This window comes from Homo sapiens, chromosome 19 (assembly GCF_000001405.40).
Source record: "Homo sapiens chromosome 19, GRCh38.p14 Primary Assembly".
Lineage (NCBI taxonomy): Eukaryota > Metazoa > Chordata > Mammalia > Primates > Hominidae > Homo > Homo sapiens.
This window is the reverse complement of record NC_000019.10, coordinates 47,045,888-47,064,008: the sequence shown is the minus strand read 5'-3', so window position 1 is coordinate 47,064,008 and position 18,121 is coordinate 47,045,888. Positions and strand designations below refer to the sequence as shown.

The 18,121-nt window shown below is 51.2% G+C and overlaps 1 protein-coding gene across 1 annotated transcript, besides 8 other annotated features; it reads left to right on the top strand.

The window, feature by feature from the left end:
- Positions 931-1,131: a silencer, noted in NCBI's record as "peak3531 fragment used in MPRA reporter construct". NCBI's record gives its function as "represses an SCP1 promoter by STARR-seq MPRAs in K562 erythroleukemia cells {active_cell/tissue: K562}" and the evidence as "EXISTENCE:reporter gene assay evidence [ECO:0000049][PMID:32103011]".
- Positions 3,763-4,283: an enhancer, noted in NCBI's record as "H3K27ac hESC enhancer chr19:47562983-47563503 (GRCh37/hg19 assembly coordinates)". NCBI's record gives its function as "activates a minimal SCP1, AML or CMV promoter by ChIP-STARR-seq in primed H9 embryonic stem cells {active_cell/tissue: H9 hESC(primed)}" and the evidence as "EXISTENCE:reporter gene assay evidence [ECO:0000049][PMID:30033119]".
- Positions 8,960-9,516: an enhancer, noted in NCBI's record as "H3K27ac hESC enhancer chr19:47557751-47558307 (GRCh37/hg19 assembly coordinates)". NCBI's record gives its function as "activates a minimal SCP1, AML or CMV promoter by ChIP-STARR-seq in primed H9 embryonic stem cells {active_cell/tissue: H9 hESC(primed)}" and the evidence as "EXISTENCE:reporter gene assay evidence [ECO:0000049][PMID:30033119]".
- Positions 13,925-14,442: an enhancer, noted in NCBI's record as "H3K27ac hESC enhancer chr19:47552825-47553342 (GRCh37/hg19 assembly coordinates)". NCBI's record gives its function as "activates a minimal SCP1, AML or CMV promoter by ChIP-STARR-seq in naive and primed H9 embryonic stem cells {active_cell/tissue: H9 hESC(naive and primed)}" and the evidence as "EXISTENCE:reporter gene assay evidence [ECO:0000049][PMID:30033119]".
- Positions 14,443-14,960: an enhancer, noted in NCBI's record as "H3K27ac hESC enhancer chr19:47552307-47552824 (GRCh37/hg19 assembly coordinates)". NCBI's record gives its function as "activates a minimal SCP1, AML or CMV promoter by ChIP-STARR-seq in naive and primed H9 embryonic stem cells {active_cell/tissue: H9 hESC(naive and primed)}" and the evidence as "EXISTENCE:reporter gene assay evidence [ECO:0000049][PMID:30033119]".
- Positions 15,084-15,378: an enhancer, noted in NCBI's record as "tiled region #8906; HepG2 Activating DNase unmatched - State 4:PromP, and K562 Activating DNase unmatched - State 1:Tss". NCBI's record gives its function as "activates a minimal TATA promoter and a strong SV40 promoter by Sharpr-MPRA in HepG2 and K562 cells {active_cell/tissue: HepG2 | K562}" and the evidence as "EXISTENCE:reporter gene assay evidence [ECO:0000049][PMID:27701403]".
- Positions 15,385-18,100, top strand: TMEM160 (transmembrane protein 160). Its single transcript, NM_017854.2, has 3 exons — positions 15,385-15,602; positions 17,324-17,416; positions 17,757-18,100. The coding sequence occupies exons 1-3, from the start codon at positions 15,395-15,397 to the stop codon at positions 18,020-18,022; spliced, it is 567 nt and encodes a 188-aa protein (NP_060324.1). The 5' UTR covers positions 15,385-15,394; the 3' UTR covers positions 18,023-18,100.
- Positions 15,418-15,607: a silencer, noted in NCBI's record as "silent region_10836". NCBI's record gives its function as "represses an Ori minimal core promoter by ATAC-STARR-seq in GM12878 lymphoblastoid cells {active_cell/tissue: GM12878}" and the evidence as "EXISTENCE:reporter gene assay evidence [ECO:0000049][PMID:35858748]".
- Positions 15,888-15,957: an enhancer, noted in NCBI's record as "active region_14852". NCBI's record gives its function as "activates an Ori minimal core promoter by ATAC-STARR-seq in GM12878 lymphoblastoid cells {active_cell/tissue: GM12878}" and the evidence as "EXISTENCE:reporter gene assay evidence [ECO:0000049][PMID:35858748]".
- Positions 18,101-18,121: the final 21 nt, after the last annotated feature.

The window sequence follows — 18,121 nt, the reverse complement described above, 5'->3', positions numbered from 1 at the left end:
GGATGGCAGTAGATCACCTACTAGCAACATCCCAAGGTCCCTGAGCTTCTGTGCGGGCCACGCTCAGCATTTGGGATCCAGGGGTGACCTGCACAGTCCTGGATCTGCCCCTGCAGTGCTCATAGAAAGACCATTAACACAGACAGGACAGCTGGGCTGGCTTCCAGGGACGGGACGAGCTTTAGCAGGCACCCTACCCATGTGATAGCCAGGGGTATCCTCTGAGGAGGGGTCTGTTGTGATGTTGGAACTTACTTTGAAATGCATCAACAAATATGAAGGATGGGTGGATAGATGGCTGAATGCATGATCAATACAGTTTGGGCGCAGTGGCTCACGCCTCTCATCCCAGCACTTCGGGAGGCTGAGGCAGGAGGATCGCTTGAACCCAGTAGTTCAGGCTGCAGTGAGCTACATCACTTTCCTGCACTCCAGCAGGCCAGGCAACAGAGTGAGACCCCTGTCTCTTAAAAAAAATAAAAAAGGCTGAGACCCAAACCCAGCAAACAAGATAGAGGGTTTTCTTGGAGTTTACATAAAGGGGAGGGAGTCCCTCAGCAGCAGGATGGGCAGAAGAACTGCAACAGCTTTAAAAACGCATGCAGTTGGCCGGGCGCGGTGGCTCATGCCTGTAATCCCAGCACTCTGGAACGCTGAGGTGGGCAAATCATGAGGTCAGGAGTTCGAGACCATCCTGGCCAACATGGTGAAACCCCCATCTCTACTAAAATACAAAAATTAGCCGGGTGTGCTGGCGGGTGCCTGTAATCCCAGCACTTTGGGAGGCTGAGGTGGGCGGATCATGAGGTCAGGAATTTGAGACCAACCTGGTCAACATGGTGAAGCCCCGTCTCTACTAAATACAAAAATTAGCCAGGTGTGGTTGTGGGCGCCTGTAATCCCAGCTACTCTGGAGGCTGAGGCAGGAGAATCACTGGAACCCAGGAGGCAGAGACAGTGCCACTGCACTCCAGCCTGGGTGACAGAGCAAGATGCCGTCTTGAAAAAAAAAAAAAAAATAGAGCTGCAAGAGTGGACCATGTCGCTCAGGAAGTGCGTGGAGCCTGAGGAACATCTCCATTGGAGGAAGGTATGGAGGCTGAGGGAGGGCAGAGATGGCCACCAGCACCAGGATGTGGTCGAGCTTTCCACAGCCCAGGGTTACCTGGACACTGGGACCAACAACTGGTGCCAGGTGCTCTTTGAGTACCTGCCCTGATCCACTGCCCAGATTCTACAGGTGTTAACTGTTTCCTGTATTTTCTTGTTTTTTGTTTTTCTTTTCTTTTTTTGTGGCAGGGTCTCAATCTGTCCGCCAGGCTGGAGTGCAGTGGTGCTATCTTGGCTCACTGCAACCTCTGCCTCCCCAGTTCAAGTGATGCTCCTGCCTCAGCCTCCTGAGTCACTGGCACTACAGGTGTCTGCCACCACACCCAGCTAATTGTATTTTTAGCAGAGATGGAGTTTCGCCATGTTGGCCAGGCTGGTCTCAAACTCCCAACCTCAGGTGATCCACCTGCCTCAGCCTCCCAAAGTGCTGGGATTACAGGTGTGAGCCACTGTGCCTGGCCGGCTGGTTGCATTTTCTAAATTCCATTTTGGCATTCCATTGGTATTAGAGCCCCAGGGCTGCCTACGTATCTCCACAGACTGGGCGGCTTAACATGACAGAAATTTGTTCTAGAGGCCAGAAGTGCACCATCAAGGTGTCCACAGGGCCAGGCTGCCTCTGAGGCTCTAGGGAGAATCCTTGCTTTCCACTCCTGGCTTCTGGTGGCCATGGACAATCCTGGGCTTGTGGTGACATCGCTTCAATCTCTGCCTCCATCTTTTCCCAGAGCTTTCTCCTCTGTGTCTGTGTCTTCTGTCTCTTAGAAAGACTCAGTCGGGCGCGGTGGCTCACGCCTGTAATCCCAGCACTTTTGGAGGCCGAGGTGGGCGGATCATGAGGTGAGGAGATCGAGACCAGACCATCCTGGCTAACACAGTGAAACCCCATCTTTACTAAAAATACAGAAAAAACAAATTTAGCCAGGTGTGGTGGCAGGCACCTGTAGTCCCAGCTACTCGGGAGGCTGAGGCAGGAGAATGGCGTGAAGCCGGGAGGCGGAGCTTGCAGTGAGCCGAGATCATGCCCCTACACTCCAGCCTGGGCAACAGAGCAAGACTCCATCTCAAATAAAAAAAAAGACTCTTCACTGGATTTAGAACCCAACCAAGTAATCAAGAGTAATCTCATCTTAAGATCTTTCATTAAATATCCTGTTTCCCAGCCAAGTGTGGTGGCTCACGCCTGTAATCTCAGCAATTTGGGATGCAAAGGCAGGAGGATTGCTTGATGCCAGGCGTTCAAGGCCAGCCTGGGCAACATAGGAAGACCCCATCTCTACAAAATACAGGAAAAATTAGCTGGGTGTGGTGGGCGCACCTGTAGTCCCAGCTACTTGGGATGCTGAGGCAGGAGGATCCCTTGAGCCTGGGAGGTCAAGGCTGCTGTGAGCTGTGATCACACCACCACACTCTGGCCTGGACAACAGTGAGAGCTTATATATGTATATTTTTTAAAGACCCTGTTTCCAAATACAGTTCATTAGTTCATTTACAGGTTCCAGGGCTTAGGATGTAGAAATATGTTTTTGGGGACAACAATTAACCCTGTTACCCTGCTCTCTCTTTTTTTTTTTTTTTTTTTTTTTTTTTGAGATGGAATCTCACTCTGTAGCCCATGCTGGAATGCAGTGGCACGATCTCAGCTCACTGCAACCTCTGAGGCAGGCAGATCACCTAAGGTCAGGAGTTCAAGTCCAGCCTGGCCAATATGGTGAAACCCTGTCTCTACTAAAAATGCAAAAATTAGCCAGGTGTGGTGGCAGTCGCCTGTAATCTCAGCTACTTGGGAGGCTGAGGGAGGAGAATTGCTTGAACCCAGGAGGCGGAGGCTGCAGTGAGCTGAGATCACACCACTGCACTCCAGCCTGGACTACAGAGTAAGACTCTGTCTCAAAGAAATAAATAAAAATAAATAAAATTATTACATCTGAACCATCATTCCATCTACTTTCTTTTCTTTCCTTTTATTGTTTTTTCTTCACCCTCCCTTCCCCACCCTTCTTCCTTTTACTTTCCTCTGTAGACTTCTCACATCCTCACAACTATATCCATTGTTGGGTTTCATAACTGTATTCTCTGTTGCCACTGTAACAAATGACCAAAAACCTAGTGGCTTAAAACAACACAAATGTATTCTACTTATTTATTTATTATTTATTTATTTATTTTTGAGACAGAGTCTTGCTCTGTCGCCCAGGCTGGAGTGCAGTGGCATGATCTCAGCTCACTGCAACCTCCATCTCCTGAGTTCAAGCAATTCCCCTACCTCAGCCTCCCTAGTGACTGGGATTATAGGCACCCACCACCATGCCCAGCTAATTTTTGCATTTTTAGTAGAGACGGGGTTTCACCACGTTGGCCAGGCTGATCTCTAACTCCTGACCTTGGGTGATCTGCCCACCTCAGCCTCCCAAAGTGCTGGGATTACAGGTGTGAGCCACCGCACCCGGCCACAAATGTATTCTCTTACAGTTCTGAAGATCAGAAGTCTAAAAACCAAGATGTAGCCAGGTGTTGTGGCTTACATCTGTAATCCCAGCACTTTGGAGGCCAAGGTGGGAGGAGCTCTTGAGCCCAGGAGTTCGAGACCAGTCTGCACAACATGGCAAGATACTGTCTCTACTAAAAAATCCAAAAATAGGGCCGAGCATGGTGGCTCACACCTGTAATCCCAGCACTTTAGGAGGCCGAGGCAGGCGGATCACAAGGTCAAGAGATTGAGACCATCCTGACCAATATGGTGAAACCCTGTCTCTACTAAAATTACAAAAATTAGCTGGGTGTGGTGGTGGGTGCCTGTAGTCCCAGCTACTCAGGAGGCTGAGGCAGGAGAATCACTTGAACCTGGGAGGCGGAGATTGAAATGAGCCGAGATCGTGCCACTGCACCCCAGCCTGGCAACAAAGCGAGACTCCGTCAGAAAAACAAACAAAAAAAAAATTAGCCGGGTATGGTGGTTCACTCCTGTAGTCCCAGCTACTCCAGAGACTGAGAGGGGAGGGTCACTGGAGCTGGGGAGGTCTAGGTTGCAGGGAGCCATGCTCGCGCCACTGCACTCCAGCTTGGGTGACAGAGTAAGACCCTGTCACAAAAATACAAATTAAAAAAATAAAACGGCAGGGTGCAGTGGCTCACACCTCTAATCTCAACACTCTCGGGACCGAGGTGGGTGTACGGCTTGAACCCAGGAGTTTAAGACCAGCCTGAGCAATATGGTGAGACCCCCAACTCTACAGAAAATACAAAAATTAGCTAGGTGTGGTGGTGCATGCCTGTGGTCCCAGTTACTGGGGAGGCTGAGCCCTGAAAGCCGAGGTTGCAGTGAGCCGAGATGAAGCCACTGCACTCCAGCCTGGGTGACAGAGTGATACCCTGTCTTAAAAAATTAATTAAAAGTAAAAAATAGGCCAGGCGCGGTGGCTCAGGCCTGTAACCCCAACACTTTGGGAGGCCGAGGTGGGCGGATCATGAGGTCAGGAGATCACGACCATCCTGGCTAACATGGTGAAACCCCGTCTCTACTAAAAAACTACAAAAAAATTAGCTGGGCGTGGTGGCGGGCGCCTGTAGTCCCAGCTGCTTGGGAGGCTGAGGCAGGAGAATGGCGTGAACCCAGGAGGCGGAGTTTGCAGTGAGCGGAGATTGAACCACTGCACTCCAGCCTGGGAGACTGAGCAAGACTCTGTCTCAAAAAAAAAAAAAAAAGTAAAAAATAAAATAAAATAAATACATAAATAAAACGAAAATGTCAGCTGGGTTGTGTTCCTGCTCAGGGGACTCGGAGGAGAATTCATTTCTTTATCTTTTTTCAGCTTCTGGAGTCGGCCTGCATTGTTTGGTTCAGTGTAATGAAGAATTTAACCTTCCCCAAAGAGAGGTAAGACCTTTGTCCTCAGTGCCTTTGAGGTCATCTCCTCTAAATCTCTGGAATGTCGTTCCTGATAAGATTATCTTGGTTTACCTATCAGCCTTGGGCCAACTAGGCTAGTAACAATGTGACTCAGGGTGGGGCCCTGGGGTCACAGGGTATCAGCTGACCTCTGGAAGGGCTGGCGCCTGAGGTCACCTCAGTCTCACGGAGGACGACTGGGTTTACGCGTCTCAGGGGTAATGAAGGTTCTGGACAGTGAGGCTTCCGAGAGCTTCCCTGGTCAACAAAGCTCCACATGTACCGTCACACACTGTTGCTGGGTAAAGTGAGCGCTGTCCACATTCCATGGGGACAAGAGGGCTGGAAGCCTCAGGATGGGACCCCGCCCCCAGGCTCTGCCGAATGCCCGTCTTCCCTGGGCTGATTTTCACCTGTATTCTTGCACTGTAATACACCATAACCGGGAGCACGGCAGCTGTCAATGAATTCTTCTTCTTTTTTTTTTTTTTTGAGATGGAGTCTCTCTCTGTTGCCCAGGCTGCAGTGCAGTGGCGTGATCTTGGCTCACTGCAACCTCCGCCTCCCGGGTTCAAGCAATTCTCCTGCCTCAGCTTCCCAAGTAGCTGGGACTACAGGCGTGTGCCACCATGCCAGGCTAATTTTTTTATTTTTAGTAGAGATGGGGTTTCACCGTGTTAGCCAGGATGGTCTCTATTTCCTGACCTCGTGATCTGCCCGCCTTGGCCTCCCAAAGTGCTGTGTTTGCAGGCGTGAGCCACCGTGCCTGGCCTTTTTGTTTGTTTTTTGAGACAAGAATCTCTTTCTGCTTCCCAGGCTGGAGTGCAGTGGTGTAATCTCAGCTCACTGCAACCTCCGCTTCCCAAGATGAAGCGATTCTTGTGCCTCAGCCCCCCAAGTAGCTGGGACTACAGGCATGTGCCACCACACCTGGCTAATTTTTGTATTTTCAGTACAGACAGGGTTTCAGCATGTTGGCCATGGCAGGTCTTGAACTCCTGGCCTCAAGTGATCTGCCCACCTCAGCCTCCCAAAGTGCCGGGATTACAGGCATGAGCACTGCACTCCGCCCAGTTCCGTGAATTCTGCTAGCAAATTAGCAAACCTCTAGAGTAGCTCAGATTACAGGTGTGTGCCACCATGCTCCGTTGGCAGAGATTGCAGTGAGCCGAGATCATGCCATTGCACTCCAGCCTGGGCCACAAGAGTGAAACTCTGTCTCAAAAAAGAAGAAAGAAAGAAAAGAAAACAACATATCCAAACTTAAATACTGAGAAACTTCATAAAGTTTGTTGCATTAGGGAGAATGTCCTAGTCTCAGAAATCTGCAAGCATCTCAAAACCAAACAAAAAAAGCCATTCATTTTCTATGTTAAGGGGGCTTTGCAGTCTGGGAAGGTTGGGCAGATGACAGGGACTAAGCCGACTGCATCATTCAACAGGAAACAGGGCTATGTGGGGTCAGGCAGTTCTCAGGATAAGCTAACCAGGAGGCACCTTCCACATTTCATTGCTTGCTCAGACTTGAGGGTGAGCTAGAAGTTCAGGGGCCCATGGAAGGAGATAAACCTGACTCAAGTTTGCTCTAGTCAAAGCAGCAGTCAGATGGGGGCAGCTAGGCTAGGCAAGGTGGCTCATGCCTATAATCCCAGCACTTTGGGAGGCTGAGGCAGGAGGATCGCTTGAGCCCAGGAGTTTGAGACTATCCCAGGCAACGCAGGGAGACCCCGTCTCTACAGAAAATGAAAATAAAAAACAAGAAAAGGGCAACTGTGAACTCTTGATCAGAAAAAAATGTTAAAGCCATGTGTGGTGGCTCATGCCTATAATCCCAGCACTTTGGGAGGCCTGGGCTGGTGGATCACTTGAGGTCAGGAGTTCAAGACCAGCCACGGCCAACATAGTGAAACCCCATCTCTACTGAAAATACAAACAATTAGCTGGGTGTGATGGCGGGTGCCTGTAGTCCCAGCTACTAGGGAAGCTGAGGCAGGAGAATCGCTTGAACCCGGGAGGCAGAGTTTGTAGCAAGCTGAGATCTCACCATTGCACCCCAGCCTGGTCAACAACAACAAAACTCCATCTCAAAAAAAAAAAAAAAAAAAAAAAAAATTGCCTGGCATGTTGGCACATGCCTAAAATCCCAGCTACTCAGTAGGCTGAGGCAGGAGAATTGCTTGGACCCGGGATGCAGAAGTTGCAGTGAGGTGAGATGGTGCCACTGCACTCCAGTCTGGGCGACAGAGCAAGATTCTGTCTCAAAACAAACAAAAAACGAAATGAGGTTTCATTTTGTTGCCCAGGCTGGTCTTGAATTCCTGGCCTCAAGCCATCCTCCCACCTCAGCCCCACAAAGCACTCGGATTACAGGCATAAGCCCCTGTGCTCAGCCTCGAGGATCCTCTAAATGTGCATCTGGTAATGTTGCTCCCCAGCTTAAACCCACCAATGAGAGGAAGATGTTCCAGAGCCCTCCACTGCCCCTTTGGACCTTGGCTACAAAGCCTGCTGGGCCAGGCCCCTCTTAAAATCAGCTCCTTTATCTTTCACTAAGTAAGGCTTGGATTGTTTTTTTTCTTTTCTTTTTTTTTGAGACGGAGTCTCACACTGTTGCCCAGGCTGGAGTGCAGTGGCACGATCTCGGCTCACTGCAAGCTCTGCCTCCCGGGTTCACACCATTCTCCTGCCTCAGCCTCCCGAGTAGCTGGGACTACAGGCGCCCACCACCATGCCCGGCTAATTTTTTGTATTTTTAGTAGAGACGGGGTTTCACCGCGTTAGCCAGGATGGTCTCGATCTCCTGACCTGGTGATCCGCCCACCTCGGCCTCCCAAAGTGCTGGGATTACAGGCGTGAGCCACTGCTCCCAGCCGTTTTTTTTTTTTTCTTTTTTTGAGACAGAGTCTCACTCTGTCACCCAGGCTGGAGTGCAGTGGCGTGAACTAGGCTCACTGCAAGCTCCACCTCCCGGGTTCATGCCATTCTCCTGCCTCAACCTCCTGAGTAGCTGGGACTACAGGCGCCCACCACCACGCCCGGCTAATTTTTTTTGTATTTTTTAGTAGAGACGGGGTTTCACCATGTTAGCCAGGATGGTCTCGATCTCCTGACCTGGTGATTTGCCCGCCTAGGCCTCCTAGAGTGCTGGGATTATAGGCGTGAGCCACTGCGCCCGGCCATTTTTTTTTTTTTTAAGATGCAGTCTCGGCCGGGCATGGTGGCTCACGCCTGTAATCCCAGCACTTTGGGAGGCTGAGGCGGGCGGATCACGAGCTCAGGAGATCGAGACCATCCTGGCTAACACGGTGAAACCCCATCTCTAGTGAAAATACAAAAAAAATTTAGCTGGGTGTGGTGGCGGGTGCCTGTAGTCCCAGCTACTCGGGAGGCTGAGGCAGGAGAATGGCGTGAACCCGGGAGGCGGAGCTTGCAGTGAGCCGAGACTGTGCCACTGCACTCCAGCCTGGGCGACAGAGCGAAATTCCGTCTCAAAAAAAAAAAAAAAAAAAAAAAGATGGAGTCTCACTCTGTCGCCCAGTCTGGAGTGCAGTGCAGTGGCACTATCTCAGCTCATTGCAACCTCAGCCTCCCAGGTTCAAATTGTCAGGCCTCTGAGCCCAAGCCAAGCCATCGCATCACCTGAGACTTGCAGGTATACATCCAGATGGCCTGAAGTAACTGAAGATCCACAAAAGAAGTAAAAATAGCCTTAACTGATGACATTCCACCATTGTGATTTCTTCCTGCCCCACCTAACTGATCAATGTACTTTGTAATCTCCCCCACCCTTAAGAAGGTTCTTTGTAATTCTCCCCACCCTTGAGAATGTACTGTGTGAGATCCACCCCTGCCCGCAAAACATTGTTCTTAACTTCACCGCCTATCCCAAAACCTCTCAGAACTAATGATAATCCACCACCCTTTGCTGACTCTCTTTTCGGACTCAGCCTGCCTGCAGCCAGGTGAAATAAACAGCCATGTTGCTCACACAAAGCCTGTTTGGTGGTCTCTTCACACGGACGCGCATGAAATTTGGTGCCGTGACTCGGATCGGGGGACCGACCTCCCTTGGGAGATCAATCCCCCATCCTCCTGCTCTTTGCTCTGTGAGAAAGATCCACCTACGACCTCAGGTCCTCAGACAGACCAGCCCAAGAAACAACTCACCAATTTCAAATCCGGTAAGCGGCCTCTTTTTACTCTTTTCCAACCTCCCTCACTATCTCTCAACCTCTTTCTCCTTTCAATCTTGGCGCCACACTTCAATCTCTCCCTTCTCTTAATTTCTATTCCTTTTGTTTTCTGGTAGAGACAAAGGAGACACGTTTTATCTGTGGACCCAAAACTCTGGCGCCGGTCACGGACTGGGAAGGCAGCCTTCCCTTGGTGTTTAATCATTGCAAGGACGCCTCTCTGATTATTCACCCACGTTTCAAAGGTGTCAGACCACGCAGGGACGCCTGCCTTGGTCCTTCATCCTTGGTGGCAAGTCCCGCTTTTCTGGGGGAGGGGCAAGTTCCCCAACCCCTTCTCTGTGTCTCTACCCCTTCTCTGCTTTTCTGGGGAAGGGACAAGTACCCATCAACCCCTTCTCCTTCACCCTTAGTGGCAAGTCCCGCTTTTCTAGGGGTCAAGAACCCCCAATCCCTTATTTCCGCACCCCAACCTCTTATCTCTGTGCCCCAATCCCTTATTTCCATGCCCCGACCCCGCTTCCTGCTTTTCTGGAGGGTAAGAACCCTGAACCCCTTCCCTCCGTGTCTCTACGCTCTCTTTTCTCTGGGTTTGCCTCCTTTACTATGGGCAAACTTCCACCCTCCATTCCTCCTTCTCCCTTAGCCTGTCTTCTCAAGAACTTAAAACCTCTTCAACTCACACCTGACCTAAAACCTAAACGCCTTATTTTCTTCTGCAATGCTGCTTGACCCCAATACAAACTCGATAGTAGTTCCAAATAGCCAGAAAATGGCACTTTGAATTTTTCCATCCTGCAAGATCTAAATAATTCTTGTCATAAAATAGGCAAATGGTCTGAGGTGCCTGACGTCCAGGCATTCTTTTACACATCACAGTCCCTTCCTAGTCTCTGTGCCCAATGCAACTCGTCCCAAATCTTCCTTCTTTCCCTCCCACCTGTCCCCTCAGTCCCAACCCCAAGCGTTGCTGAGTGTTTCTAATCTTCCTTTTCTACAGACCCAACTGACCTCTCCCCTCCTCGCCAGGCCAAGCTAGGTCCCAATTCTTCCTCAGCCTCCGCTCCTCCACCCTATAATCGTTTCATCACCTCCCCTCCTCACACCCGGTATGGTTTACAGTTTCGTTCCGTGACTAGCCCTTCCCCACCTGCGCAGCAATTTATTCTTAAAAAGGTGGCTGGAGCTAAAGGCATAGTCAAGGTTAATGCTCCTTTTTCTTTATCCCAAATCAGATGGCGTTTAGGCTCTTTTTCTTCAAATATAAAAATCCAGCCCAGTACATGGCTCGTTTGACAGCAACCCTGAGACGCTTTATAGCCCTAGACCCTAAAAGGTCAAAAGGCCGTCTTATTCTCAATATACATTTTATTACCCAATCTGCTCCTGACATTAAATAAAACTCCAAAAATTGGAATCTGGCTCTCAAACCCCACAACAGGACTTAATTAACCTCGCCTTCAAGGTGTACAATAACAGAAAAAAAGTTGCAATTCCTTGCCTCCACTGTGAGACAAACCCCAGCCACATCTCCAGCACGCAAGAACTTCCAAACGCCCGAACCGCAGCAGCCAGGCGTTCCTCCAGAACCTCCTCCCCCAGGAACTTGCTACACATGCTGGAAATCTTGGCCACTGGGCCAAGGAATGCCCGCAGCCTGGGATTCCTCCTAGGCCGCGTCCCATCTGTGTGGGACCCCACTGAAAATCGGACTGTTCAACTCACCTGGCAGCCACTCCCAGAGCCCCTGGAACTCTGGCCCAAGGCTCTCCGACTGACTCCTTCTCGGCTTGGCGGCTGAAGACTGACGCTGCCCGATCACCTCGAAAGCCCCGTAGACCATCACAGACGCCGAGCTTCGAGTAACTATCACAGTGGAAGATAAGTCCGTCCCCTTAATCAATACAGAGGCTACCCACTCCACATTACCTTCTTTTCAAGGGCCTGTTTCCCTTGCTTCCATAACTGTTGTGGGTATTGACAGCCAGGCTTCTAAACCTCTTAAAACTCCCCAACTCTGGTGCCAACTTAGACGATACTCTTTAAAGCACTCCTTTTAGTTATCTCCACCTGCCCAGTTCCCTTATTAGGCCGAGACACTTTAACTAAATCATCTGCTTCCCTGACTATTCCTGGATTACAGCTACATCTCATTGCTGCCCTTCTTCCCAATCCAAAGCCTCCTTTGCGTCCTCCTCTTGTATTCCCCCACCTTAACCCACAAGTATAAGATACCTCTACTCCTTCCTTGGCAACCGATCATGCACCCCTTACCATCTCATTAAAACCTAATCACCCTTACCCTGCTCAATGGGTAAGGCCTTTTAAGCCTATAAACTCTCCTTACAATTCCCCCATTTTACCTGTCCTAAAACCAGACAAGCCTTACAAGTTAGTTCAGGATCTGTGCCTTATCAACCAAATTGTTTTGCCTATCCACCCCATGGTGCCAAACCCATATACTCTCCTATCCTCAATACCTCCCTCCACAACCCATTATTCTGTTCTGGATCTCAAACATGCTTTCTTTACTATTCCTTTGCACCCGTCATCCCAGCCTCTCTTCGCTTTCACTTGGACTGACCCTGACACCCATTAGGCTCAGCAAATTACCTGGGCTGTACTGCCGCAAGGCTTCACAGACAGCCCCCATTACTTCAGTCAAGCCCAAATTTCATCCTCATCTGTTACCTATCTCAGCATAATTCTTCATAAAAACACACGTGCTCTCCCTGCTGATCGTGTCCAATTAATCTCCCAAACCTCAATCCCTTACAAAACAACTCCTTTCCTTCCTAGGCATGGTTAGTGTGGTCAGAATTCTTACACAAGAGCCAGGACCGCACCCTGTAGCCTTTCTGTCCAAACAACTTGACCTTACTGTTTTAGCCTAGCCCTCATGTCTGCATGCAGCGGCTGCCGCTGCTTTAATACTTTTAGAGCCCTAAAAATCACAAACTATGCTCAACTCACTCTCTACATTTCTCATAACTTCCAAAATCTATTTTCTTCCTCATACCTGACGCATGTACTTTCTGCTCCCCGGCTCCTTCAGCTGCACTCACTCTTAAGTCCCACAATTACCATTGTTCCTGGCCCGGACTTCAATCTGGCCTCCCACATTATTCCTGATACCACACCTGACCCCCATGACTGTATCTCTCTGATCCACCTGATATTCACCCCATTTCCCCATATTTCCTTCTTTCCTGTTCCTCACTCTGATCACGCTTGATTTATTGATGGCAGTTCCACCAGGCCTAATCGCCACACACCAGCAAAGGCAGGCTATGCTATAGTACAAGCCATGAGCCCGCCTCTTAGAACCTCTCATTTCCTTTCCATCGTGGAAATCTGTCCTCAAGGAAATCACTTCTCAGTGTTCCATCTGCTGTTCTACTACTCCTCAGGGATTATTCAGGCCCCCTCCCTTCCCTACACATCAAGCTCAGGGATTTGCCCCCACCCAGGACTGGCAAATTAGCTTTACTCAACATGCCCCGAGTCAGGAAACCAAAATACCTCTTAGTCTAGGCAGACACTTTCACTGGATAGGTACAGGCCTTTTCTACAAGGTCTGAGAAGGCCACCGCAGTCATTTCTTCCCTTCTGTCAGACATAATTCCTCAGTTTAGCCTTCCCACCTCTATACAGTCTGATAACAGACCAGCCTTTATTAGTCAAATCAGCCAAGCAGTTTTTCAGGCTCTTAGTATTCAGTGAAACCTTTATATCCCTTACGGTCCTCTGTCTTCAAGAAAAGTAGAACGGACTAAAGGTCTTTTAAAAACACACCTCACCAAGCTCAGCCACCAACTTAAAAAGGACTGGACAATACTTTTACCTCTTTTGCTTCTCAGAATGCTGCAGGGTACAGCCTATTTGAGCTCCTGTATGGACAATCCTTTTTATTAGGCCCCAGTCTCATTCCAGACACCGGACCAACTTAGACTGTGCCCCAAAAAAACTTGTCATCCCTACTATTTTCTGTCTAGTCATACTCCTATTCTCCGTTCTCAACTACTCATACGTGCCCTGCTCTTGTTTACACTGCTGGTTTACACTGTTTCTCCAAGCCATCACAGCTGATATCTCCTCATGCTATCCCCAAACTGCCACTCTTAACTCCTGAAGTAAACAAATAATCTTTGCTGGCAGGACTATGCTGAATCTCCTTAGGCACTCTCTAATCAGATGTCCTAGGTCCTCCCAATTCTTAGACCTTTTATACCTGTTTTTCTCCTTCTCTTATTCCATTTAGTTTTTCAATTCATACAAAACTGTACCCAGGCCATCACCAATACTTCTACACAACAAATGTTTCTTCTAACAACCCCACAATATCACCCCTTACCACAAAATCTTCCTTCAGCTTAATCTCTCCCACTTTAGGTTCGCACGCCGCCCCTAATCCTGCTTGAAGCAGCCCCGAGAAACATCGCCCATTCTCTCTCCATACCACCCCCCAAGACTTCAACACTATTTTGTTTTATTTTTCTTATTAATAAAAGAAGGCAGAAATGTCAGGCCTCTGAGCCCAAGCCAAGCCATCGCATCACCTGTGACTTGCACGTATACATCCAGATGGCCTGAAGTAACTGAAGATCCACAAAAGAAGTAAAAATAGCCTTAACTGATGACATTCCACCATTGTGATTTGTTCCTGCCCCACCTAACTGATCAATGTACTTTGTAATCTCCCCCACCCTTAAGAAGGTTCTTTGTAATTCTCCCCACCCTTGAGAATGTACTGTGTGAGATCCACCCCTGCCCGCAAAACATTGCTCTTAACTTCACCGCCTATCCCAAAACCTCTAAGAACTAATGATAATCCACCACCCTTTGCTGACTCTCTTTTCGGACTCAGCCTGCCTGCAGCCAGGTGAAATAAACAGCCATCTTGCTCACACAAAGCCTGTTTGGTGGTCTCTTCACATGGACGCGCATGAAACGATTCTCCTGCCTCAGCCTCACAAGTAGCTGGGATTACAGGTGCCTGCCACCATGCCTAATTTTTGTATTTTTAGTAGAGATGGGGTTTCACCATGTTGGTCAGGCTGGTCTCGAACTCCTGATCTCGTGATCTGCCCGCCTCAGACTCCCAAAGTGGTGGGATTACAGATGTGAGCCACCGTGCCTGGCCCGGGCTTGGATTTTATGAAGAGGAAAAGTAGGGGAGCTAGCAAGGGGGTTACACTTGAGGAGGGAGTTCAAATGGACTGCACTGCATAGCCTGCAGGCTTGCAATGAATGTGAAGCTTTAAATGGGATTAAGTGCAAATTGAAAATATTCCAGACACATTTTTCACATTCCTGGCTAGTGAAAAGGTTTATGCTGATGAGAGAAGGCAAAGCTGAATCCCGGAATGGGTTAGGGCAAAGAAAACAAATCTGTCTTAAAGAGACAGACCTGGCCGGGCACGGTGGCTCACGCCTGTAATCCCAGCACTTTTGGAGGCCGAGGCGGTTGGATCACTTGAGGTCAGGAGTTCGAGACCAGCCTGGCCAACATGGTGAAACCCTGTCTCTACTAAAGATACAAAAATTAGCTGGGCGTGGTGGCGCATGCCTATAATCCCAGCTACTCAGGAGGCTGACGCAGGAGAATCGCTTGAACCCGGGAGGTGGAGGTTGCAGTGAGCCGAGATCGCACCACTGCACTCCAGCCTGGGCGACAGAGCAAGACTCGGTCTCGGGGCGGGGAAAAAAAAGGAAGGAGGGAAGGAAGGAAGGAGGGGAGGGAAGGGAGGGAGGGAGGGAAAAAGAAAGAGAGAAAGAAAGAAAGAAGGAAAGAAAGAAAGAGAAAGAAAGAAAAAGAAAGAAAGAAAGAAAGAGAAAGAAAGAAAGAGAAACAACCAAGAAACAACTACAATAGGTGCTCGGCATGTACTCCGTTAAAAAAGATAGAATTAAAACTACAATTCCCAGCAGACATCTCGCCTGCGACTTCTGAATATCGGCTTTCCCCGAGCGCAATGATCGCTGGGATTCGTAGTCCGGTACAAAATCAAGGAGGGACGGGCACTACCGGCCTAGATGACAGAGGAGGGAATCACTGCCATTCCGACCAATGGACAGTTCACGCCGGACCTGAGTGGCGAGCGCATAGCCAATGGGTAAGCCATTCATCCTGAGTGACATGGGTTGCAACCTACCGGAGGCCGGTGGGGCGGTACGGCGCGCGGCGGCCGTAGTGCGAATCATGGGAGGCGGCTGGTGGTGGGCTCGGGCCGCTCGCCTTGCCCGTCTTCGCTTCCGGAGGTCGCTACTGCCGCCTCAGCGGCCCCGGAGCGGGGGCGCCCGGGGGTCCTTCGCCCCCGGCCACGGTCCCCGCGCCGGGGCTTCGCCGCCCCCAGTGTCCGAGCTGGATCGTGCGGACGCCTGGCTCCTCCGAAAAGCGCACGAGACAGGTCGGTGGCTAGGGGTGGGGGCGGTGCGGATGGGACGGGGGTCCCGGGCTCGCGTGGGACCTTGATGGGGCGGGGGCTTCTGCAGGAAACGGGGCCCGGGCTCGGCTCCGAGAAGGGCTTCAGTGTGAGCGCACGGAAGCGCAGACTGCAAGAGCGCAGGTGCCCGCAGAGGGGATGGGCTTGCGGGGAGGACGAGGACCCCGGGTAACGGGGCGCCGTAGGGATTGGAGGGGGTGGTAGGGTTGCGCGAGGCAGCCTCGTAGAATCGCGCCTGCCGTGGGGAGAGGGGCTTCAGGGAGAGCTTAGGGTCTGTGGAGTTGGGTACAAGATGGGTCCATCCCGATTGCAGAGGCCACCACTGTGCAGAGAGCGGGAGTGTGGATCCCCGCAGAAGAGGGGGAAGTTCAGGATTGGAGAAGGGGACAACCAATCGGGAGAAAGCTCTCTGCTGATTGGAGGGGGAGGTGATCTAGGCTGCAGAGGGCGGGGCTTGTGACGGAGGCGAGGTCCAGAATGGAGCGGACTGGCCATGTTTGTTTTTTTTTTAATTTTATTTTTTTAATGACGGTGTCTTGCTCTGTCACCGAGGCTGGACCGCAGTGGCGCAATCGTAGCCCACTGCAGCCTTGAACTCCTGGGCTCAAGCTATCCTCTTGCCTCAGCCTCCTGCTTAGCTGGAGCTACAGGCATACACCACCGCACCCAACTATTTTAATTTATGTAGAGACGGGGTCTTGCTTTGTTGCCCAGGCTGGTCTGAACTCTTGGGCTCAGAGAATCCTCCTGCCTTGGCTTCCCAAAGTGCTGGGATTATAGGTGTGAGTCACCTCACTAGGCCAGGACCGGGCATCTAGATATAGGGTGTGGTGGGCTGTTTGTAAAGGACGTGAATGGGGACGGACGTGGGTGGGATTGGCCCAGGCCATACTCGGTAGGACATGGATGGGATTGGCCCAGGCCATACTCGGTAGGAGATGGCGGCATTTGAAGGAAAAGAAGGGCGAGGCTGAAGAGCGGCCTGGATTAGGAAACAGTTTGTCCCAGAGTTCTGAGAAAGAAGTGAGTGGGCAGGCCGTGGGGGTACACGTAGAGGGAGGGGTTTGGCCAAGATGACTCCTCAGATGGAGGTTCTGCAACTTTGCCCCTAGATTGTCCTCCACATTCTGCAGGGACTATCTTGAATCCTTTATTTTTTTTGAGACGGAGTCTCACTCTGTCGCCCAGGCTGGAGTGCAGTGGCATGATCTTGGCTCGCTGCAACCTCTACCTCCTGGATTCAAGTGATTCTCCTCCCTCAGCTTCCTGAGTAGCTGGGACTACAAGCACGTGCTACCACACCCTGCTAATTTTAACATTTTTAGTAGAGACAGGGTTTGACTATGTTGGCCAGGCTGGTCTCAAACTCCTGACCTCATGATCCGCCTGCCTTGGCCTCCCAAAGTGCTGGGATTACAGGGGTGAGCCACCACACCCGGCCCTTGAATCCTTAGTGTTACAGAGTTTGGGGGAGAGGGGCACTGAGGTGGAGGCCAGAGAGGATGTGGGGGGATATGGTTAGGTGAGCGGCTTCCTGGAAGAGGTGAGGATTTGGGATGGGCTTGCCTTGCGGCTGGATGGGATGGGGTGAGCTGAAGGGAGGCCCCTCAGTTTGACTGGGTAAGGGGGATTGAGGAGGTAGGGTTGGGGGTGATGTTAATCCCCCCATGTCCCCCTCCCTCCAGCCTTCCTCTCCTGGTTCCGCAATGGCCTCCTGGCATCGGGCATCGGGGTCATCTCCTTCATGCAGAGTGACATGGGTCGGGAAGCAGCATATGGTGAGTGCAGACCCCCCCTCTCGCCCCACGGAACCAGGGAATGCAGAGCCCCTATCACCTGCCCTGGTGAGAGTAGACTCTCCTACCCCATCCCACTCCCAGTAGTAAGTATAGAACCCCCATTCTTCCCCCACCAGAAGACACCCCTCCCATAGGCACTAGGTCCATCTGAATGGGTGGCCCAGGACATGGTTATGGTCCCCTCCCCTCCGATCTGATTCTCAAAGATGCAGGCTAGCCCCTGGCACGGCCCTGCCTCTGTTCCTGTCTCCTCAACCCTGGCTTTGCTCCCAGACCATCCCCCGACCTTGGCCCTGTTGCTACCCTGCCTCTCCCGCAGGCTTCTTCCTGCTGGGCGGCCTGTGCGTGGTGTGGGGCAGCGCCTCGTACGCCGTGGGCCTGGCGGCGCTGCGAGGACCCATGCAGCTGACGCTGGGGGGCGCGGCCGTGGGCGCGGGCGCCGTGCTGGCCGCCAGCCTGCTCTGGGCGTGCGCCGTGGGCCTCTACATGGGGCAGCTGGAGCTGGACGTGGAGCTGGTGCCCGAGGACGACGGGACGGCCTCCGCGGAAGGCCCTGATGAGGCGGGTCGGCCGCCACCCGAGTGAGCGACACGGCCGTGGGGCCTGGCAGGCGCTGGACAGCGCCCGAGGACTGGGACATTAAACCTGACCTCCCCTCCTCCAGATGCAGAGTATTGGTTCGTG

Bases quoted from the DNA above. Each gene is read 5' to 3' on its own strand.
- TMEM160 (NM_017854.2), top strand. From the start codon at position 15,395: ATGGGAGGCGGCTGGTGGTGGGCTCGGGCCGCTCGCCTTGCCCGTCTT. The intron at 15,603-17,323 runs GTCGGTGGCTAG...CCCTCCCTCCAG, and splicing joins CCGAAAAGCGCACGAGACAG to CCTTCCTCTCCTGGTTCCGC. The intron at 17,417-17,756 runs GTGAGTGCAGAC...CCTCTCCCGCAG, and splicing joins GGGTCGGGAAGCAGCATATG to GCTTCTTCCTGCTGGGCGGC.